At 37.3% G+C, this 23,814-nt stretch overlaps 1 protein-coding gene across 16 annotated transcripts in view; it reads right to left on the bottom strand.

The window, feature by feature from the left end:
- Positions 1–23,814, bottom strand: part of CNTNAP4 (contactin associated protein family member 4) — a 283,357-nt gene that overhangs the window by 231,450 nt on the left and 28,093 nt on the right. For 14 of the 16 annotated variants that reach the window (NR_136216.2, NR_136210.2, NR_136213.2 and 11 more), the window contains one exon: positions 12,785–12,895. Coding sequence is in view for 10 of the 16 variants with exons in the window: in NM_033401.5 (NP_207837.2) it covers positions 12,785–12,895 (111 nt within the window). In the remaining 6 variants the exon portion in view is untranslated. Of the gene's footprint in view, positions 1–12,784; positions 12,896–19,401; positions 19,457–23,814 lie in introns of those variants that run through there. The other 2 variants (XM_011523403.3, NM_138994.5) reach the window with 1 other exon arrangement.

Here is a 23,814-nt window from a genome sequence, read left to right as displayed (position 1 = left end):
GCTCCACTGAGGCTTTGATGTTTATTTCACAAGCCTCCTGACATTTTGGATAATTATGGATGCCTAAACACCCATCACACTAACTGTTAAGTGACATTCAGTCCATATTAATTTTTGCATTGCATTTTTACATTCCTTTCCCTCCTTCTCAAATGAGTTTTTACCATGTTTTATTATACAGGCACACACAAATATTCTTTTCATATTGACATTTTGCATTTCGTACTAACAAAGCTGAAGTATTTACATGTGTTTTTAACAAACTTTTTATTTTAAAATACTTTTAGAGTTACAGAAAAGTTGCAAGAATATTACAGAGGGTTCCCAAAACACCCTTTGCCCAGTCCCCTGTCCTATTAATACCTTACAGGTGCCAGGCACAGTGGCTCACGCCCAGCACTTTGGGCGGCTGAGGCAGGTGGATCACCTGAGGTCAGGAGTTTGAGACCAGCCTGACCAAAATGGAGAAACCCCGTCTCTACTAAAAATACAAAATTAGCCAGGTGCGGTGGCAGGCGCCTGTAGTCCCAGCTACTCAGGAGGCTGAGGCAGGAGAATCACTTGAACCTGGGAGGCGGAGGTTGCAGTGAGCCAAGATTGCGCTAATGCACTCCAGCATGGGAAACAAGAGCAAACCTCCATCTCAAAAAAAAAAACACACCTTACAGGCATATGGTACATTTGTCACAACTAATGCATCACTATTGATACATTATTATTATTAACTAAGGTCCATGCTTTATTTGGATCTCCTTAGTTTTTACTAAATGTCCTTTCTGCGTTCCACGATCCCATAAAGGTTACATCATGTTCATTTCATGTTGTTGCGTTTAGTCATGTGAATCATGTTACATTTAGTGATCACGTCTCAGACTCCTTTTGGTTATGACCGTTTCAGGCTTTCCTTGTTTTTTGACAACCTTAACATTTCTGAGAATGGCTGGTCAGGTATTGTGTAGAAGATTCTATACTTCAGGTAGGTCTAATGTTTTCCACAGAGGTTTTTGAGAGCAGGACCACAGAGGTAAAATGCCATTTTCACTGCATCAAATCAAGGGTACATACTATCAATATAATTTATCACTGATTAACTTTGATCACCAAGATGAGGTGGTGTTTGTCAGATTTCTCCACTGTAAAGTCCAATAATGTACAGTGTTGAAGTTGTTATACACATCTTACACTTCAGAGGTAGAGAATTATGATCTACTTCCTTGAACGGAGAAAATCTATATAAATTATTTGGAATTCTTCTGAGCAGGAATCAGGAAGCATTTCGTTCCACTTCACTGGGTGATGAGAAGCATGACTTTGAGGCAAAAGTTTGATCACTCACATTGAAGAAGTGACCCCACAGGACAGATGTGGCACGCAGGAAGGGGTGAAACAATGACGGAAGGCCAAAGGAAATGTGTTATTGACTTGGATGAAACTACAAGCTACTGGTATCCAATGCCACACACACTTCTGAGCAGCCTTATCAGATGCATCTCAGAATTTCCATTCTGAGAACAAAAGCAGAAAGTTTCTGTCCATCAGCTCTCATCCTCTTTGGCACGTTTAGCCTCACAGGCAGGCACTCCTCCTCATCCCTCACTACTAGAATGAGTCCAGTGGACTCCCAGGGGAAGGCCATCCATCAATATCAGAGGAGCCATAGGGCAAGAAGCTACAGGGAAATGATACAGCCCTAGATGAGACCCTATCACACCTGTGGAAAGCTGGATTTGGTCACTGCAATTCTGGCTGAGAGAGAGACAGGGTTTAGAGGATGTAAGTGTCATACAAAAATTGTCCATATCACAGAGCTGGTCACAACAGCAAAGACATGGTATCAACCCAGGTACCCATCAATGATGGACTGAATAAAGAAAATGTCGTATATACACACCATGGAATACTACATAGCCATAAAAAAACAACAAAACCATTTCCTTTGCAGCAACATGGATACAGCTAGAAACCGTTATCCTAAAAGAATTTATACAGAAATAGAAAACCTAATACCACATGTTATCTTGTAAGTGGGAGCTAAAATATTGGGAGCGTATGGACCTAAAGTTGGGAACAAAAGACACTGAGGAATACAAGACAGGAGAGGCAGTGATGGGGCAGGGGTTGAAACCTACCTACGGATACTATGCTCACTACCTGGGTGACGAATTCAGTCATACCCAAAACCTGAGCATTATGCAATATACCTTTGTAACAAACCTGCACATGTACCTCTGATTTTAAGATAAATGTTGGAAAAGAAGACATGTCCAATCCACATGACACATCTTAATTTTAACCATCTCTCATATGGGTGAATGAGCTTTTTTGGTTTTCTTTTTTTTTTGTATTTTTTAAATTTTATTCTTACTTTAAGTTTTAGGGTACATGTGCACAACGTGCAGGTTTGTTACATATGTATACATGTGCCATGTTGGTGTGCTGCACACATTAACTCGTCATTTAGCATTAGGTATATCTCCTAATGCTTTCCCTCTCCCCCACCCCCACCCCACAACAGGCCCCGGTGTGTGATGTTCCCCTTCCTGTGTCCAAGTGTTCTCATTGTTCAATTCCCACCTATGAGTGAGAACATGCAGTGTTTGGTTTTTTTGTCCTTGTGATAGTTTGCTGAGAATGATGGTTTCCAGCTTTATCCATGTCCCTACAAAGGACATGAACTCATCATTTTTTATGGCTGCATAGTATTCCATGGTGTATATGTGCCACATTTTCTTAATCCAGTCTATCATTGTTGGACATTTGGATTGGTTCCAAGTCTTTGCTATTGTGAATAGTGCCGCAATAAACATACATGTGCATGTGTCTTTATAGCAGCATAATTTATAATCCTTTTGCTAGCTTTTCCCATCTCTTAGCAAGATCCGTCCATCCCCTGCTGGGCAAGATGCTCAGGACACACATGAACTGGCATCAGGCAAGAAAGCTAGGAGTCCTGGCTTTTGATATTTCTGTGGTTGTGCCACCCACCACACTTTCAGAGCACATGTACATTCCAGCTGAGGGGAGGCATTCTCATTCTGAGGCAGAGTCTGGGGCCCTTCACACATGTACGCTAGTATTTTGTTTAGAGCATTCTGCATTTATATTCATGCAACAGAGTGGCTTTTAATTTTCCTTTCTTGTTTGTCCTTGACACTGTTTGGTATCAAGGTTATGCTGGCCTCCTTGAATGAGTTAGGGAGTATTTTGACTTTTTTTCTGTTCTCTGGGAGAGAATGTGTAAGTTTACAGTCATATCTTCCTTAAATATGTTTGCAAGAAGTCATATTTGAAGGCATATTAACTTGTAGTTTTCTTTGTTGAAACATTTTTAATTATAAATTTCTCTCTTACAGGTAGAGAAATATTTTAATTTTTTTTATTTATTGAGTGCAGTTTTGCAGGTTTGTTTTTGAAACATTTTTTCAATTCATTTAAATTCTCAAAATTAGCAGAAAGTTTCTTAAAGTATCCTTACATTTTTGTCTTCTTGATTGTATTACATGCTTGTTTTCCATTTTATTAATTAATGCACTTTGGGTTTTTTCCTTCCTTTTGCTTATTTTTGGCTTAATTTGTTGTTCTTTTTGTAGTTTTTTGGGATGAATGCATGGAAAAATCATTCATATTTAACCTTTTTTCTTTTGTCATATTTGTAATTAAGGCCATGAATTATGGTCTAATCTGCATCTCACAATTCTGATTTGCAGTATTTTCTTATCATTCAGTTAAAATGTTTTCTCATTTCCATTGAGATTTCTTTTGGAGGAATGTATTAAATTCCACGCCTTTCTGGCTTTTCAAGTATTCTCTAATTAATGATTTCTAGCTGAATTCCACTATAGCTAGGGCACTTACTCTGTATGATTTCAATCCTTTGAGATATATTGAAACAATTTATGGTCCAGCATAAATTTAGGTAAATATTCTAAGTATACTTAATAAGAATGTGTATTCTGCAGTTGGAGATATACTACACAGAGTATATAAATAACTACACAGAGTATATAAATATACATTACACACAGTATATAAATATACATTACATATTTTAATTTTTTGTTCAAATCTTTATTTTCATTTTTTTGCCTACTTGTTCAATAAGCTACAGAATGATATACATTAACAATTTTGTATTTCTGTATGTACTGTCTACCTCTATTATTTCTGTCCATTTTCCTTTACATATTTTTAAAACTCTGTTATTTGGTGCAGAAAATGTCAGGCTCACTACATGATATTTCCTTTTTGGGGGGATCTTTGCCCCCGAGGGCTGGCTGTCTTGGTTTCTCTCAGGTATGTCAAGTAGTTAGTTTACTAGTTTCTGGAAATGTAGCTAACTACTATGGGCTGAATGTTTGTGTCCCAACAAAATTCACAGGCTGAAGCCCTAATCCCCAGTGTGATGGCATTTGGAGAGGGGGCCTTTGGGAGGTAATTAGGTTTACATTGTCACGAGGGTGGGCCACTCATGATATGATTAATGCTTTTATAAGAAGAGGAAACAGAGAGAGAGATCTCTTTTCATGAGTAAGTACCAGGAAAGGTCACTTAAGCATAAATTCAGGAGAGAGCTATCAGTAAGCCAGCAAAAGGGCCCTAACAAGACATCAAATCTGCTGCCAGTTGTATGACATGGCAGCTAACATTTCTAAATTAATTATTCATATAGCCAGACACCATGCTAGACTCTACCGTCACCTTGAGGTAAGGCAAAGTCCAAGGTAAAATTTATCCCTCAGAGTTTCCTGAGAGATTATGCTGTGCCTGAGATTTCTGAAATTATTTGGTTTCTTCTTCCTTAACCTGCTTCCCCCATGCTCTGTTTTCTCCTGGCAGCTATGCCCTCATAAATCACTTGTACCTCAGACATTGCTCCAGGTGTGCTTCTAGGAGAACCCAACCAAAGACACCCTTGATTACTTAACTCATGGTTTATTCATTGCACCTGCATGTAAAATTTTCCTACTCAGCACTGAAAATATCAGATGGATACTAAAAGAAATGTTTATGTATTAGTGATAATGTTTAATTTTGTGAATATATTTTAATTGACCAAATTTGAGCCACTGTATCGATTTCAGTTGGGCCACATTTATATTTTGAATTCCTGTATCTTATGAAAGCTGAAGACATCTCCTAAGGCGGGAGCATCCTGTGTCATCTTGTTTGAGGAAAACTTAGAAGGATAATCTGCCTTAAGGTACTCCCCTCACCTTCTTATTGAGGGACTACCAATTTCTCTTACTCACATGCTTTAAAGATTTCTAAGAGTTAGAAACAGAAGATAGCTACATTGCCAGTAGAATATTACACATAAGAAGAGTACGTTGTCATAGAATTTAGAGATCCTCAAATTCAATCCTCTACCCAGGGGGTAAAAAAAGAGAGGTAATGTCATTTCCTTAAGGCCATTCACAATTTAGTATTATAATCTAGTTTCCCTGATTTCAGAACTACACATTACTTAGGATTAGCTACTTGGCGCATTCCCACGGATGACACCATCAGATTGATTTAGAGCTGAAGACTGTGGGCCATAGAGCAGACAAGGACGATAAAGGGTAAGATGGAAAACGCACCAAGACGCTGGCAGGGAGATCAGAGAAGGTGCAGCATGTTCTAAGGAAGGGGCCAAGGAGGGAGGGCAATATCGAAAGCCAAGAGGGAACCAGCCAGGCAGGTGGACAGTCATCTATGGTGTTAAATCAAATAAATCGACACAAAAATAGAAGTGATTCTATATTAATCTCAGAAGTGGTAGCAAACTCTCCACTACTTTAATAGAAGATATCAGCATATTTAGAAATAAATGTGTAACCCTTCACTTATTTTTATTTCACCTTCTCAAGGCTGGTATACAAAATATAATTTATTAGAACAAGTGATACATCACTGATCATAAAATTAATCTGGAACTTTATTTTCCAACCTTTATCAAAATGTTAATGTTTTAGTAAGTTTTTTTTAAACTTCACAAACTAAATCCAGACTGCTGAGGAAAAAAAAAAGGTAAAAATATTAAATAAAACCATCCTATCACCCTAATTCACAGATTTTGACTAAGGATATATCAGACTGTTTTAGCTTTACTTCAATCTAATAACAAACATTAAAAAACTAATTATTTGACTCTGTTTTGCTTTGTAATTAATCAGGAATATTGCCAGATACAGTGGCTCAGGCGTGTAACCTCAGCACTTAGGGAGGCCGAGGCAGGCAGATCACGTGAGGTCAGGAGTTCGAAATCAGCCTTGCCAACATGGTGAAACCCCATCTCTACTAATAATACAACAACAACAAAAAAAATTAGGTGGGTGTGGTGGTGCGTGCCTGTACACCCAGATACTCAGCAGACCAAGGCACGAGACTCGCTTGAACCCACAAGGCAGAGGTTGCAGTGAGCTGGGATTGTGCCACTGCACTGTAGCGTAGGTGACAAAGTAAGACTGTCTCAAAAAAAAAACAAAAAATAAAAAATAAAATAAAAAGGAATAAATTGACTCTTTCCAGCACAGTTCTGTGGAGGTCAGAATTCTCTGAGATTACCTTTATATAAATGAGTATATATATTTAGTTTGCTAAAATGGGGTTAACTGGCAGGACACACTTTGAAACTGGTTAAAATGTGTACAGCACTGTGTTTTTGTAATTTATGTGGCCCCATCACAGTGCCACAATCATTTTCAGAAGGACAATACCATCTCACTGTTATCCCTGCTCTTCCCGTAGGAAATTAAAGTTTGGTGGTGAAATATCTTGCCAATCCTTAAGGGAGTAAAATGTAGTAGTGATTAAGACCCAAGAATAGTGAATTAATTCCAGATATGTCTAACACCAAAGAAGTCGCTCTTCAACTAAACTTTTATGATCTGCAGGAAAGAATACGAAAGAGAAGAAGGAGAGTGGAAGAGCTGAAGTTCAAGTGTGTCTGGGAGGCTCAAGTTCTGTGACTGTTAGGGATGAGTATTCAGAGTTTCAGCCATATTAGCACCCCCATCTCAATATCAAGAGCTGTACACCTATGGATTTAAGACAAGGCCCAAACCCAGAAAAAATTAGGGCTCAAGACAGAAATATCAGGCAGTGCTAACAAATCACATGCCACAGCCTGAATCAGCAGGAAGGCAGGGGACTCTTGCAATTCACGTAATTCTTCAGTTGCCAAAGGCATACTCTCAGCACATCGGATTCTGGATATCATGAGTTGGTCTAGAAGCAAATAAATTGCTGGCATGTTCTGTTTTCCAACAAACTCCACAAGTACAGGGCATCTCCAGTGCAACAAACTCAGTCAGTGAAGTTCACCTGCCCCAGCCTGGTCATGGGACCTCTCAGGCAAATTTCAGACTCATACCAGTTGTGCCAGCCAGGTTCCCCTTTCTCTAGGCTTGAGATTTTTCAATCCTGTACAAAAGTTATATCTTACTCTTTTTTCATACAGAAAGTATTGGTTATTAAATATATTAATACTATCATTTTAAAAATTTAATTATTATAAAGTTTTTTTTTTTTTTTTTTTTGAGACTGAGTCACGCTCTGTCACCAGGCTGGAGTGCAGTGGTGTGATCTCAGCTCACTACAACCTCCACCTCCCGGGTTCATGCCATTCTCCTGCCCCAGCCTCCTGAGTAGCTGGGGTTACAGGGACCCGCCACCACGCCCGGCTAATTTTTTGTATTTTTAGTAGAGATGGGGTTTCACCATGTTAGCCAGGATGGTCTCGATCTCCTGACCTCGTGATCCACCCGCTTTGGCCTCCCAAAGTGCTGGGATTACAAGCATGAGCCACTGCACCCGGCCTATAGAGGTTTTTAAAAAATATAATACGTTTAACACCAGGAAATATCCAACTCATAAAAAAGCACCTACTTTTTTTTTATCTTTAGGGATCTATCCTCTTAAGCACTGACATGCAACATGCATATCTTGGAAGATTTAATGAAGCATAATAGTTGTTTGCAAAGAAGCATAACAATTTAGGGCAGTCAAAATTGCCAAACAACGCTATATAGATTGCTATAATTATTCTTATAGAGATCCATCCAAGAATGGGAGTTATCTCTGTCAATTAACCAAGTAAGCTAATTCCTCTACAGATAAGTGCTTGATTTTAATATCAAATTCTATAGGTATTGGGAAAACATTGCTTAACAACCATTTAGAATAGAAGGGTGTAGTTGTGGTTTAAAAAATAGAAAATGGAAAAATATAGACAAATATCCAATTTTTAACATCAGGAAATATTATGATAGACAAATATCCAATTTTTTAACATCAGAAAACATTCTTATCTTACAGAAGATGTGAGTGGAAACTCACAGTATTTGTCAGCTATGGAAACCATCTTTTATATACTTAAAGAGGTGTACATATGTATTTTTCTACTCACACTTGTAAATATATTATTTTTGCTTTGGACAATCATTTTATTTACTATTGTATTATTTTTCCTGTACACAAATTTATCAATTTGCAATCACTCATTTCCAAGGTTGTCCAAGTACATTAAAATAAAGACTTACGTTCAGATTATAACACTATAAAAGATGTGGTTTCTCCATATTCTGGATTCTAAATGTACTAAGGACACATTTAGACAACCAAATGGGACACTAGAACCTGTTTGAACTCTACATTGACAACACTAAGAGTCAATGTACACTTAACTTTAAATTGCCCATTAAAATTTAAGCTATACTGAAACTCCAACAATGACAATACTATGCAGCTATCTTTTCTAGATAACCTTCTCTCTATTCCTGGATTCCTGTTGGATGGTTGATTGGATTCAAGAGTCACATAACTAATCTCTTTAGCAAAATCTGTCCTACCCATCCTTAATGTTCTCTTCAGAGCATGCAAAATTTCCCATCTTCTGCAATATGAATAGGCCAAGAATGTTCCAAACCATCAAGTCTGATTGCCTTTTTTGCTTATCAGTTTCTTTCTCAATGTATTTCTTCCCTCACACATTTTGCTATAAGCTTCAAGGAGAAACAAAGGTATACCTTTTCTATTTTGCTTGGAAAGCTCCTCAGGTAATTATCTAAGTTCATTGTTTACAAGATCTAATCTTTACCCAGCATTAGAACACAATTCGACCAAATTTTCTACCACTTTTTAACAAGGATTGCTTTCCCTCCTATGTCCAATAACATGACCCTCTTTTCTTTCTGAACCCTTGCCAGATACACTTTAAACCTTTGTATTTACACCAACGGTCTTTTCAAGGCAATCTGAGTTTTTTCTATCAAGTGCCTCAAAATTCTTCCAACCTTTGCTCATTACTCAATTCCAAAGCCACTTCCATATTTTAAGGTATTTATTCCAGTGGCACTAAACTTCTAGTACCAAAATCTGTATTTGTTTTCAAGGGCTGCAGTAGCAAAGTACTACAAACAGGGCATCTTAAAAGAATGCAAGTTTATTCTCTCACAGTTCTGGAAACTAGCAGTCTGAAATCAAGATGTCCACAGGCAGGGCCATACTCCCTCTGTGGGCTTAGAGAAGAACCCCTCTTTCTTTCTTTCTAACTTCTGATGGTTGCTGGCAATCCTTCGCATTTCTTGGTTTGCAGCTGTATCACTCCAATCTCTGCTTCCATCTTCATCTGGTCTACTCTGTCTTTCCTGTCTCTGTATGTCTCCAAATCTCACACTCCTTATAAGGACACCAGTCATTGGATTTAGCCCCCCACCCCTTAATCCAGTATGGCCTCATCTTAACTTGATGATATCTGATAAGACCCTATGTCCAAATAAGGTCACCTTCATCGGTATTTGGGTTAGGATTTCAATCTTTTAGGAGGACACAATTCAACCCAAAACAGCACATACGTGGCAAAATTAAATTAGCATACTTCGAATGGAAAGTATGTTTAATGGTAATCCTCCCCTCTCCTCCCCTCCCTCTCTCTCTTTTGAGACAGAGTCTCACTCTGTCACCCTGGAGTGCAACAGCACAATCTTGGCTCACGTTACCTGCACCCCCTGGGTTCAAACGATTCTCATGCCTCAGCCTCCTGGATAGCTAGGACCGCGGGTGTACACCACCATGCCTGGCTAACTTTTTTGTATCTGTAGTAGAGACAGAGTTTTGCCATGTTGCCCAGGCTGATCTCAAACTCCTGAGCTCAAGTAATCCTCCTGCCTCAGACTTTCAAAGTGCTAGGATTACAGGTGTGAGCCACTTTTAGTAGCAATGGTAGCCTTTTTTTGATCCCCTTCCCTCATTACTAGGGCCCTACTCATTTTCACAGTATTACCCTTGACACTTCTTATCCCACAGATGGAAAATAAGTGGGTAACTTTCTCATTTTTTTGCTCTATTCTTTGGCTCTAAGTTTTCATAATTCTGTAGGAAAGAAGTCATTCTGTGTATCTAAGATACTAGGACCTTTATTTGCTGGTTTAATTTATTTACATATGACTGCAGACTTGGCTGAACACTTTTTCCTAGCCTGACTGAAATATTATGAGAAATGTTATGAGAAATTATGAGAATAATTTCTCATAATTATTAATTATTATGATTATGATTATTATTATGAATATTATTATGATTATTATTAATAAAAATAATTAATTTATTCTCTCTAATAAATAAATCATTATGAGAAATATTATGAGAAATTTCTAGTATTTCAATACTAGAAATAAAATATAGCCTTTAATAAATCACTGAAAATCTGATGTTCCTTTGTGAAAACTTCATGTAATTAACAGGGGAAAAAAAGAAAACCTAAATCAAAAAGAAAAATGTAATCAAGTAGGTTTACAACCAGCAAAAGATAATTAAAATGATCCTGTTTTGTGTCTCGGTTTCATTAACATGTAAATGAGATTCATGAAGTTTGATATTGTGTTTTACCAAGAGCCATAGAAATGAATTAAGAATGAAAATGAGTCCCACTGATGGAGACTCCTGATGAGTATATAAATTAATGAAAAATATGATTTGATCTAATTAATAACATATATTTTGTGATGTATTGAACCTCAACAAAGGAAATCAAGATAAATAGGTAGATTAAAATGTTGTGTTCCTTTCACTGGCCCACATTCTGTGAAAGCTTTTATGACTCAAATGAAGTGGTGGTAAATGTCAAACTCTGTTTTTCTCTATAAAGAAGCACAGAATGGAGACCTTATTCTAGGATTAGCATTGCAATAACAGCATTCCTGCTGGTGGGTCCATAGGTACAGGGCCTGGAATGGCCATCAGAGAGGCTAGGAAAGTCCCCTGATGGGTCAGGGACTCAGAATTGCAAAGAGGAAGAGACAGTCCCATGTGACCAGTAACTCTTACTGCAAGTCACTCAAAAAGAAAACGCTAGCATTATCTACACAAATATATTCAAACACCCCCCAGTTTCCCATTTGACAGAAGGATCTCAGTTCTCACTCTCCACTGATACCTTCACATTCAGAAGCACACAAAAGTAGGTATCTCCAATAATATGAAATGAAATTTTAAAATAAACTTAAGCTTAAAATCATGTTAAAGTGTTATATCTATATTGTAATTAGAACTATGTGTGATATATATTATGTATACCAGATGGCAAAATACACACACACATACACACACACACACACACTCTTACCTATTTGTCATGTCCAATGTTCAGTGTGCTCAAGCATTAAGCACATATTAAGGATAACATCAAAGAGTAAAATTAGAAGTGACTGACTGATGTTGCCACGAGAGGAGGATAATAAATGGGAGAACCAAAAACATCATGCATTAAAACTTTTTATGATTGTTAAAACGTTTTATGTATTAGTATTGCCAAGCGTGTTTTCCTCCAATGCATGTGCAGATGAATTTTACCTTAGTATGTTATGAAAAGAGATCACAGTGACACTCTGTCTCTAAGTACACAGTGTTTTTGAAATTCTGTCTTATTTCTACAGCAAGGTGCCATTTAATTATCTTCAGTTTCCTTTTAACATATTCAAGTGATCAAACACAAACTAAGATGAACTGAGTTTTTTTTTTTGGGGGGTTTTTTGGGTTTTTTTTTTTTTGGTTTTTTTTTTTGTTTTTTTTTTTTGAGACAGGGTCTCACTTTGTCGCCCAGGCTCTAGTTCAGTGGCACAATCATAGCTCACTGTCTCCAACTTCTGAGTTCAGTGATACTCCTGCTTCAGCCATAGCTGGGACTACAGGCATGCATCACAGGTGAATTTATTTTTATTATTTTGTAGAGACAAGGTCTTGCTGTGTTGCCCAGGCTGGTCTTGAACTCCTCACTTCAAGTGATCTTCCCACCTCAGCCTCCTAAAGTGTTGGCATTATAGGCATGAACCACCACACCTGGCTGAGTACTCCTAAAGGACCATGAAAATCTTATTATGTTCCTATTCTTCAGCTGATAAGAAAATCATGTCAACCACATTGAGAATCCAAAACACTGAGGGATTGTTATTTTTAAATAATTAGCGTTTTTGAAAATTACTTCTTTAACTTGAAACTGAAGGCCAATTAAGGTTTCATCACTAATGTGTCCATAAGGATTGTATATTATTGTAGAAAATATTTAGTAAGATATATAAAAAGCTTGTCAGATGGAAGGAACTCAATTCTTCGTAATATAGGATGTATCCCTTTCACATTCCAGAACAGAAGCTAGATGTCATATACATCTCATGAGTTTTAACCATTTGCTTATTTCGAAATTTACTTTCTTTTACCATGTATCATTCATAATGACTGTATGCAAAGATAATGAAAAACTAGTGAGATTTTCTATGGGCCAGTCAGAGGAGAAAAGCAGACTTACCATCTCTTCTATTCAGCCTTGCAAATCCAGGACCATGACTGCTGGAGAGCTCGGAAGAACTGCTGAAGGATGCCTGAGGCAAGGCAGACACAAGAGGATCATCACAGTCATCTGCCAGGAGGAACAATGCCACGTTAGGGTTAGTTAGTGCTGAGGCTTTCGTGGAATCAATAGACAAAACAACCAACAAGTAAAACAACAACATCAAAAACTAGGATCTAAGATCTCTAAAAATATGCCTACTACTTCCAGGGCTTACTAGAAGTCTAGTAAGTTCAATGAGAAAAGAAAAAACTTAAAGACAGGAGAATATGAAAATACTTTAAAAATCATAAAATTATATAATAAAACAATATCTTAAGGTAGAAAAGATTATACCTCATTATAAAAGATTCACAAATTTAACTGTATGAAAATTAAATACTTAAGGTTTCCAAAAGACACTGTAAAGAAATTAAAAAGAAAAATCACAAAATGGAGAAAGTACTTGCAAAACCTATAACCCAGTATACAATTAGTATTCCAAATAAAGGAAAATAAAACACAAAATAAAGTAAAACAAAAACCACCTTTAAATCATGACACACATTAACAAAAATAACACAAGGCACGATCAGACTTCACAGCACAGCCTGGCGTGGTGGCTCACACCTGTGGTCCCAGCACTTTGGGAGGCTGAGGCAGGTGCATTACTGGATGTCAGGAGTTCAAGACAAGCCTAGCCAACATGGTGAAACCCCATCTCTACCAGAAATAAAAAAATTAGCAGGGTGTGGTGGCACACGCCTGTAGTCTCAGCTGCTAGGGAGGCTGAGGCAGGAGAATCGCTTTAACCTGAGAGGCAGAGGTTGCAGTGAGCCGAGATCACACCACTGCACTCCAGCCTGGGTGACGGAGTAAGACGCTGTCTCAAAAAACAGACTTCACAGCACAGATCCTATATAAATTGATCCTCAAATATATCAGCAAAAAGAGATGTAAACTGGGACTACAAAAGGATACTAGTTTATGGACATTAGACTAGCAAAATGTAGGCCAAGAGAAACTCTGACACATTGCTCGTGGGAGTATAAACTTGAGCAACTACTTTTATAAAAACAACTTGTCATTAGACGTATATTTGAACTTTCCCATACCCTATGTTCCACCAGTCCCTTTGATATACGTAGGTCCTCCTATGATGAACCCCCAGCCTCAAGGAGTTTTGTCTTTTTACCCAAAGGTGATATATAAATATTAGTAATTTTGTGTCCTATGGAAATAAAAATGTACTCAGAGGAGCTTGCATTTGTGCACCAGGAGACATGTATGATTTCTAGCAACGTTGCTCATAATAGCAAACAAACAAACAAAAAATTAACGACCAGATACCCAATGGCCAAAGAACAAATAAAACAGTGCTTTTCACAACAGTATAATACACGCCAGTAAAAGAAACAACAACAACACAAAACAAAATAGTTGAATCTTAGAAGCGACATTTTTGAGGAAAACAAAATCAAGTTATAAAATAATATGTAATATGTTGATCGTTTTGAGAATCTTAAAAAGCAAAGCTAAGTAATACTGTATGTTGTTTAGGGACATATATGAGTTTAAAAAACTACTTTTACAAAAAAAAATGAAAATTATAAAATTCAGGATCTTGGTTACCTTGAGAAAAAAGCAGAATCAACACACATGTATACAGTTTTAATGTGATGGAATGCTCTAATTTGGGGATAGGTGGTCTCAGAGGTGTTAGAACCAGAGTGACACCATCTTGAGTGAGGGCTAGGAAAATGAGGCTGAGACTTGCTGGGCTGCATTCCCAGAAAGTGAGGTATTCCTAGCCTCCAGATGCTTATGGTTAAGGGAACCGATTGATAACGTTTACTTAACAGACCCAGACTTGGGCGTGTCCTGATGTCCCAATAATTTGAGAACAAAAGCATCCCTAATTTTGCTTTAAAGATATTCATTGATTCTTGCAAAATGTAGTAGTTAAGAAAATTAATCCTTTATCACAAACCCTTGTAGCAGAGCTCATCTCCCCATGATCTTTTCTAATCCTATACATATGTGTGTATACACATATACACACAAGTATTTGTACCAAGGGTGACCGCATTATTCCTCCTACTTTCGTGAATGCCCTACTCTGTCTATCGAGTCACTGAACTTTCACCACTTTACTTTCTTAATAAACTTGCTTTTGCTTTGCACTGCGGACTCGCTCTGAAAGCTTTCTTTCGCAAGATTCAAGAACCCTTTCTTGGGCTCTGGATTGGGATCCCTTTGTGGTAATAGTGGCATAGTCAAAGGCTTATAATTATGATGTTTCATATAAAATATATTACACATGCACATACATTTACATATGTATCAATGTGTATACATACATATTAATGCATATACATATTTATCGTCTATCTACCCTTTTATGTGTATCACATATATTGCTTCTAATATTAAAAGATAAAGCACAAAGAGCGAGGGAAAGTATAATCTCATGTGTATCATGAAATCCATACATGTTTAATTTATTCAGCCAATTCTTCATTCGATGTCATCTTTAAAGCATTTGCCTTTTATTTTATACTCTTAAGTTGTTCCCATTTTTGCATTAATCAGAAAAATATTTCTCTATTTAGTTTTTAACATATACATTCTATAATTTAAAATTATACAGGGTTATTGTCCCAAATGTTTTCATTAATGGTAAGCAATTATTTAAATAAATCTAAGAATTATCTAGATTCACCTGAAATTTTATTAAGTTTATTATACATGAACCTAATTTGTTCTTGAATGCCTTTCCCAAGAGCTTACCTGAGGTAGCATTTTACTTTTCAAGATTGTCTCGTTTTCATTCAAAGTCTACTTTTTCTTATTCTTACCTTAAATTCTTTCACCATTATGACAGACAGTTCCTGCATGTCTACTGACTAGCTTAAGTACTAAAGCCAGCCAATCCAGTTGTAATTCAAGAATAAGGAATACAGACATAAAAAGATATACAACCCATGGAGTGGTGAAGGAAATTCTGATTATTGCCAATTACAGGCAACAACAAAAATGTTTTAGTATGCTCTGGAAACTGTGGCATGTATGTTTACACACACAAGAGAGTGCATTATGTATATGGAAGGAGGGCGCACATGTGGGTGTGTGTTTACTAGAACTAGGAATTTTTAAAATCATTTTCAGCATGCAGGTGTAAGTGTGGTGAAAAGGGTGTTTAATTGCAATACAAAATCAATTATGTAGATTCAGATCGATGTTTTGGATGTAATGCCTCTCTGGTACAACCACTCTAGGGAACATATATTTATTGTTCATTTGTTTTTGCCAACTATAAATTAAGAATCAATATTGTTCTACCTCTAGCTTTAAAAGAGTGGAATTAAAACAAAAGAAGGGGAACTTTTTACATTCGTGGGGAGAAAGACATGTAATATGGAAAACAGAAGGGCACACAGGAGGCTTGTGATATTTGGTCAAGTTTTGGTTGTTGGCCTTGGTGGTTACATGGCATTATTATTCTTTACCATGGGCATACACCTGCCCCTACAATCTGTTGTATGTTTATTTTACAATGATATATTGTAGTTATTCTTACAGAACTAATAATAACTAAGACACATTTAGAGAGCACTCTGTGCTAGGAAGTTATAATCCTGCCACACATAGTAACTAATCTTTACCCCTCCTTGTTGATATATTAATGTTACTCTCTTGCAGATGAGATCATTGAACACAGTTCGATTAATTTGCTCTTCTCATTGTGATAGAACCGTATCTATAACGTGAGTTGCGGTCCAGAATCCACTATGTAAGAATACCATGACTATAATTATTATTTCTTTAGGTTTGAAGTGTAGGAGTTCCATCAGACACCATAATAGCATGAACAAATTCTCTCAAGGAGTGTGTACTCCAGTTCCAGGTTTGCCATGCTATTTTTTTATTTCCCATTTGATCTTCAACAGTCTTGACAAGAGAGGAAGAGAACCTCAAACAGTAATAATCAGTGTGGAGTAAACATGATATTTTTCTCTACATATAAATTAAATTTGGAATTGTGGATTAAGCATGAGTCTCCTGAGTTTAATTCCAGAAAACCAGTTTTCTCTGACTGCACCAATAAAACACAGGATCTAGACTTGCAAAGCTAAGGACCACATTCCAATTCAGAGGTTCTCAACCAGAGGTAATTTCACCCTACTGCTCCCCACTTCCAAGAAATATCAGCAATATCTGAAGACACTTTTGTCATCACAACTAAGAGAGGATACTTCTGGCATCTACTGGGTTGAATCCAGGGGTGCTGTTAAACATTTGACAAAACACAGGGTAGCCTTCCACCACAAAGAATGGTCTGGTCTCAAATGTCAATAGTGCCAAGGTTGAGAAACAATATTCTAGAATCTGGTAAAGCAACTCAGAAAACTAGTCTTCTCCTGGAGTAATCTCACAGCTAGAACTTTCAATGATTATTAGCTCTAATTTACAGCTAATTTTCAGATGCAAATAAAGATTATTCACTGCACGTGAGTATACAGGCATTTAAGTAGGGGGCTTTTCAAATTGGAAATAACATTTTAGCTATTTCAGCCTAAAACATAATTGCATTTTTAAAAAATTAAGTGCTATATCAGATTGGCACATCATCCTGGTCCCTTTACTGCTGAGCCACAGACAAGATTCTTGGTAAAAAAGGGCACAGGAGACCATGGACGTCTGCATTCACTAGTGAAATTTAGTAATCGAGTAACCAAACATTTCATGGACGTCTGTACAATTAAAAATGCAGCTGGGTATGTTGAGTTCATCATTGTTTCTTTCAATTAGAGAAGAAATGAACATCACTCTCATTACTCCATGCTTATCCAACATTGTATTACATTTTATTTGACTTTTCTCAGTCATATTAGAATTTCCACATAGACCTTGATATCAGTTGGAAGTAGTAAAACGATAGCTTTAGTCTTTTCATTAAAAAATGTATATATACTAGTTACATCTACAATATGTTTTAATGAATTCTGTTAAATATCCACATTAGAAAAAAATATGCTGAGTCATTTTCATATAGATACACCATATACATACAAATCTATGGCTTTCCGTTCAATATCTCAGAAAAGTCACCATTTACTCTTTACATGACAGAAAAACTTACCATTGTCATTAAAAAGTAAATGGTAAATTAGATCTCTGGCAGATTGTATATACAAAAAAACTCAATAGCCTCCTTCACTATAGCTTGCATCTTAATTGATGCAAGGTATACTGAAAATATTTTAATATAGCTCAATTAATGAAAATTTTATTTTACAAATGGCTTTAATGCATAATTCTCATAAGCAAATAAAAGCTGTTCAGTTTTTAATAAAAGTAATTCAATTTTCTTAATCTGTGTGTAATATTACCTGTACTAAGATAATAGGTATATATTATTAGGTGCTACGTTCTCAGTGCTTTACATGCATTAACTCAACTGATCCTGATAAACACCCAATATATTTGATATTATTAACTCTAGGGACACTTGAGGAAAAAAGAGCACAAGAATTAAATAATTAAATTAGGAAAATTAAACAATTTACCTAAGGACCCATGACTAATAGGTGGTAGAAAGTGTATTTAAATTCAGGCAATCTGGTGCCAGATCTTCTATTCTGAACCAGTACTTTGTTGAAACAAGCACTGGTGACCTAAAATATACTTTTCAAAAAAAAAAAATAGGGCTGATTTTCAGCAGTATTCAGCTTAGTTGCCACTGAGTAGTCATCTTCTCAGTTATTTGGAAGACATGCCAAAATTAGTTGCATGCCTGCTAATGAATCGTATGTCCCATAAAAATATCCATTACAGAACAGACTAGAATAAATAGAATAGGTAGCAAACATAGTTTAAATCATCAAAAATCCTCATACACCAGAGGCAGGGTGAGACCTTTGACAGGAAGCTTTGGAAAGATTGGAGTCTCGTTCCCATCAGAAAATAGTTTATTTAGACCTATTCCAAATAGTCCATTGACAGATACAGGATTAAGGAATGGCCTTCCCTTCAAGACATCTATTTTCCTGAACAAAACATTTTATTCCAATCTATATTACAATTTCCATCCAGTTAAAATTAGAAATCATCAACATATTTAAGAAAGTATGGAATTATGTTTGCATATATCAAAAAATATTACTTGTTAGTCAAGATTTCATTCAGAAATTTTGACAATGACATTGTACTGTAACCATAAACCCAGTCTGGGCTACTGCTACAAATTTCAGGTTCATTTCAGGATCCCAGGTGGCGTCTTGTCTCCTCGCCCTACCATGACACACAACCCAGTACCTGATGTACCTCTGTTTCCTGCCCAACGAGAGACTGAATACACAAATGGCAAATGGCCAGTCTGCATGCAAAAAACAGAACCTGTAGCAACTAGCCCAGGAAGCCAAACTACTATCTACAGGAGCCAGTCCAGGAAGCCAGACTTCTGTCTGAAGCAACCAGTGCAAGAAGCCAAATAATAACTCCTGTAGCAACTGGCCCCTGTTTTAGTCCGTTTCCATGCTGCTGATAAAGACATACCCGAGACGGGGAAGAAAAAGAGACTTAACCGGACTCACAGTTCCACATAGCTGGGAAGGCCTCAGAATCATGGCGGCTGCAAGAGAAAATGAGGAAGCAGCAAAAGCGGAAACCCCTGAGCAACCCATCAGATCTCATGACACTTACTCACTATCACGAGAATAGCACGGGAAAGCCCGGACCACCCCCTCCGCCCAAACCCCAATTCAATTACCTCCACCTGGGTCCCTGTCACAACACGTGGGAATTCTGGGAGATACAATTCAAGTTGAGATTTGAATGGGGACACAGCCAAATCCTATCAGCCCCAAATAGCCAGGACTTAATAACTTACAGCTTCCCTCATTTTTGCCCATGTTTCCAATTTAGAACCAGCTGAATATGTTTAGGAAATATTTAGAAATTTTACTAAGTATAGAGAAAGCCAAATGTATACCTCTAACTAATCCCATAGGATGCCCCACTTCTGGTCAGCCTGCCTACAGCCTCCCCTAGCCAAGGCCTCCAACCAGGGCATACCTGAGCCTGCCCCTTTACTCCAGTGTAAAGTTTCCTCTCCTCTGCCTGCCTTTGAGTCTCTGCCAAACTCAAATGGTGGTGGCCAACCACCTTGCTGCAGCAAACTCTAAATAAACAGCCTCTGCTTGATTTCCTTTGGGTGGGCATCATTTATCTCCATACCCTGGAGCTTTCCCCCAGCTCTGCCATCTCATCCTCACAGCTGCAGCTGTACAGTCTACACTCAACACCAAAAAAGAGCCACCAAAGTCCATTTTAAGCACCCAGAAGACACAAGTATGTTTAAAAAGCAGCATCAGCCACCTGGTAAAAAGTATTATAGGCCAGGTGTGCTCGCTCATGCTTGTAATCCCAGCACTTTCAAGGCCAAGGTGGGAAGATCTCTTGAGGCCAGGAGTTCAAGATCAGCCTAAGCAAGATGTCAAGCCCCATCTCTTTAAAAAAAAAAAAAAATTAGCCTGGAATCCTAGCTACTCAGACGGCTGAGGCAGGAGGGTCTCTTGAGCCCAGGAGTTCGAGGCTGCCCTGAGCTATGATCGCACCACTGCACACCAGCCTGGACAACAGAGCAAGACCCCATCTCTAAAATAAAATTAAAAATAAAAATAAAATTCTATGGCTTAGCTCCAGGTTGCAGGGTTGTCGCATCTCTGTAGTGTGCATCTTCAGTGATTCATCCTAACTGCCTGGTAGCATCACCTCGGGGAGATGTCAAATTTCCCATGATTGTGTCCCACAGCCAGAACCATGCTAGTCTGGAAACCACTAAAATAGAGCTGCAAATTAATTTCTGTCCAGTGATGAGCATTGTTCCTTTCATAATGTCCTTATGCTTTCCATACTGTTTCACGGGACTGTGAAGGAACACAGCCCGAAGGACTGAAGGAACTTTTGTGGTGTGACACCCCACCCCTCTCTCCCTATGTAGTAGCCATGGTGCCTGACGGTGTGTGGAGGAAGCTGCTGCACTGTCACATTCTGATGAGAAAGAGAATAAGTTTAGGGAAAACTGACAATACACCTAGGATTGAATAAAATATAATTTTTCTAAGCATAGGTGATGAAATATGAGCCAATCCTGGCATCGTCTCTCATCCTCTCATCATTACCTAAAATGATATTTCAACTCGATTAAATGCCACGAGTGTAGACTACTATGCAGTTCTTTAGCTTCTTTAAGTATTAATTTGACATTGACATGAAAATTAACATTTACTTGAGAATCCTGGTTTTAGATATTTGAAATAACACAAACATGAGCTTCTAATTCTGTCAGTCATTGGCTTAAATCTAAAAAAAAAATGTTCCTGCAATTTAAAACAAGTAACTATCAGTATGTTTTCCTAGAGCTAAACTACTAAGACAGGGATAATTTTCTAATTGTCAAGTAATTCATTTAGACAGCAGCCTATAAATTTCTATGCATTTTCTCTTATAGGAGACATGAGTAGAATTTATATATAACTGTTAATTCTCTGTGATGTTATTGACCTAAGCTTTCATTTGGAGGCAAACACTGGCTTACATGCTCCAAGTTATAGCCTGAGTTTGAATAGCTTTTCCAATTAATCTTCACAATTAATGGATTAATGGGAAGGCAGTTAACTTCTAATGACAGAACAGCCAGGGGCTGATTGATTTTAGAGGTTTAATAGCAACTATTTAAAGTCCAGATATTAAGACAAAGAGACCAATCAAAGGTGAAGGGGTAGAAGAAATAATAATTTTTTAGAAAGTAAAGAGAGCATCAGAGATCTAGAAATCTGCACACATTACAGACTTTTATTGACAGATAATTTGGCCATATGTGACGCCATGTCACCTAATTTGATATCAGGAATAGTGAAAAGAACATCTTTATGGGGTAAGCATTTCTGGAGTTTGGTATATATATATATATATATATATATATATATATATATGCATTTAAAATAGATATCTAGGAGAATTAGAGGATCAAAAGTTAATTTTAAAAAATATATCCAAAGATGCTGAAACATATTTCCATTTTTTCCACAATGATAATATCAATTTAGTCTCCATTTCATCACACACACCTCAGCAAGGTTTGCTGATTTACTAAGTGAACAAATTGTAGTAGTTGTGTATTTATATCGTTGCTTTGATTAATGCAGTCAAACAATGTTTTCCATATGTTGTTATCCATTCTCAATACCTGCAAATTGTCTGTCATTATCCTCTGTTTTTCCACTTAGAAACATAATTTAAATTAATTACGATATTATATACATTGTTGGCCAAACATATTTGTTTCAGTTGCTTTTTCTGTTTTTATGTTCATCTTTAATTTTGCTCATGCTTTTTGTGTTATTCAATGAAGTACTTTTGTTATTGTTAGGCTATGGCTGTGTGCTTAACCATCTATTGTAATCAAACATTTGTCTCTTTGTTAGTGACCTATTTAAGCATTGTGAAAACATGGGGTCTGGATTCAGAGAGGCCAGTCCTCAAATTCTTGCTCTGGTACTTCCCGAGGTCTGATACATACTGCTTCAACTTGATGTACCTCTGCCTATAAAGTGCAGATGAAAATATCCCCTTCACAACAGAACTGCAAGAACTTCATGTTATACCATACATAACATTTAAAAAGTACAGAGTAGGTACTTAAAATAATCCATCCCTTCTTCTTATACCTCCCAATACCATTAAGCAAAGAAAAGTGTGTTCTCATCAAGGATTTTTCATATGCCTGTCTTTAATGCACCACCTCGAAAATTAGTCAGTGTGATAAATTGATTTGGAATTGTGGAAACAAAATCTTCGTATCAAGCACTGTACCTGTCACTGGACGTATGCGAATCATCTTGACTCCTGCCTGTGACATCTCACGTTCAAATCCTCTGACTTGAGCACCAGTTAGATTTTTCACTTTTTGCTTTCAACATTTTGCTTTCTATAACTGGTCCAACTAAATATTCACAGTTTCAGAGTGTAGGAGCCAATCATGTTTTATTGCATTCACGTGGGATTTTGTTTGTTTTTGTAGAGATTGGGGAGTCGGGAAAGGGCATATTTGCCACTGGATGTTAAGGGCCCACTGTTGATACGCAGTGGAAAACAATGAGAAAAGACAGATCTTCAGAAAAATATCAAAACCAACTAACTGCTTCGAAATGAAAGTCTATAACCTTATTAAGAAGGATGGGTTCAGCCACTGTAGAAAGCAGTTTAGATATTTCTCAAAGAACTTAAAACGGAGCTATTTGATCCAGCAATCTCATTACTGGGTATACATGCAAAGGACAACTAGACCTTTATACCAAAAAGACACATACATTCATATATTCATCACCATACTGTTCAGAATAGCAAAGATGTGGAATCAATCGAGGTGCCCACCAGTGGTGGACTGGATAAAGAAACTGTGATACATATATACCATGGAATATTATGCAGCCAAAAACTAGAATAAAATCATCTCCTTCACAGCAACACAGATGAAGCTGGAAGCCATAAGCTTAAGTAAATTAATGCAGGAAGAGAAAAGCAGTTATCACATATTCTCACTTATAAGTGAGAGCTAAACATTGAGCACACATGGACATAAACATGGGAACAGCTGACACTGCAGACTACTTGAGTGGGGAGAAAGGGAGGGGACCATGTGTTGAAAAACTACCTGTTGGGTGCTAGTCTCACTACCTGGGTGCAATATACCCATGTAGCAAATCTACACATGTACCCCCTGTATCTAAATAAAAGCTGAATTAAAACAACAACAAAAACGAATGATGGGTCTTGCCAGACTGCCAGGCTCTGGACACCCTCAGTTCCTTCCCCACTGCTAAGCCAAGTAAACCCACTTCCCATGGTCAGGTCGGCCCCAGTTCTCAGTAATAGCTAAATTAAGGATGGGGAATTTAGAGCCTTAAATTCAAAAGCCTTAGATAATTTCTTTATTAAAAACG

The sequence above is a fragment of the Homo sapiens genome, chromosome 16 (genome assembly GCF_000001405.40).
Source record: "Homo sapiens chromosome 16, GRCh38.p14 Primary Assembly".
NCBI lineage: Eukaryota > Metazoa > Chordata > Mammalia > Primates > Hominidae > Homo > Homo sapiens.
Note: the sequence above shows the minus strand (reverse complement) of the source record. Positions and strands in the feature narration are given on the sequence as shown.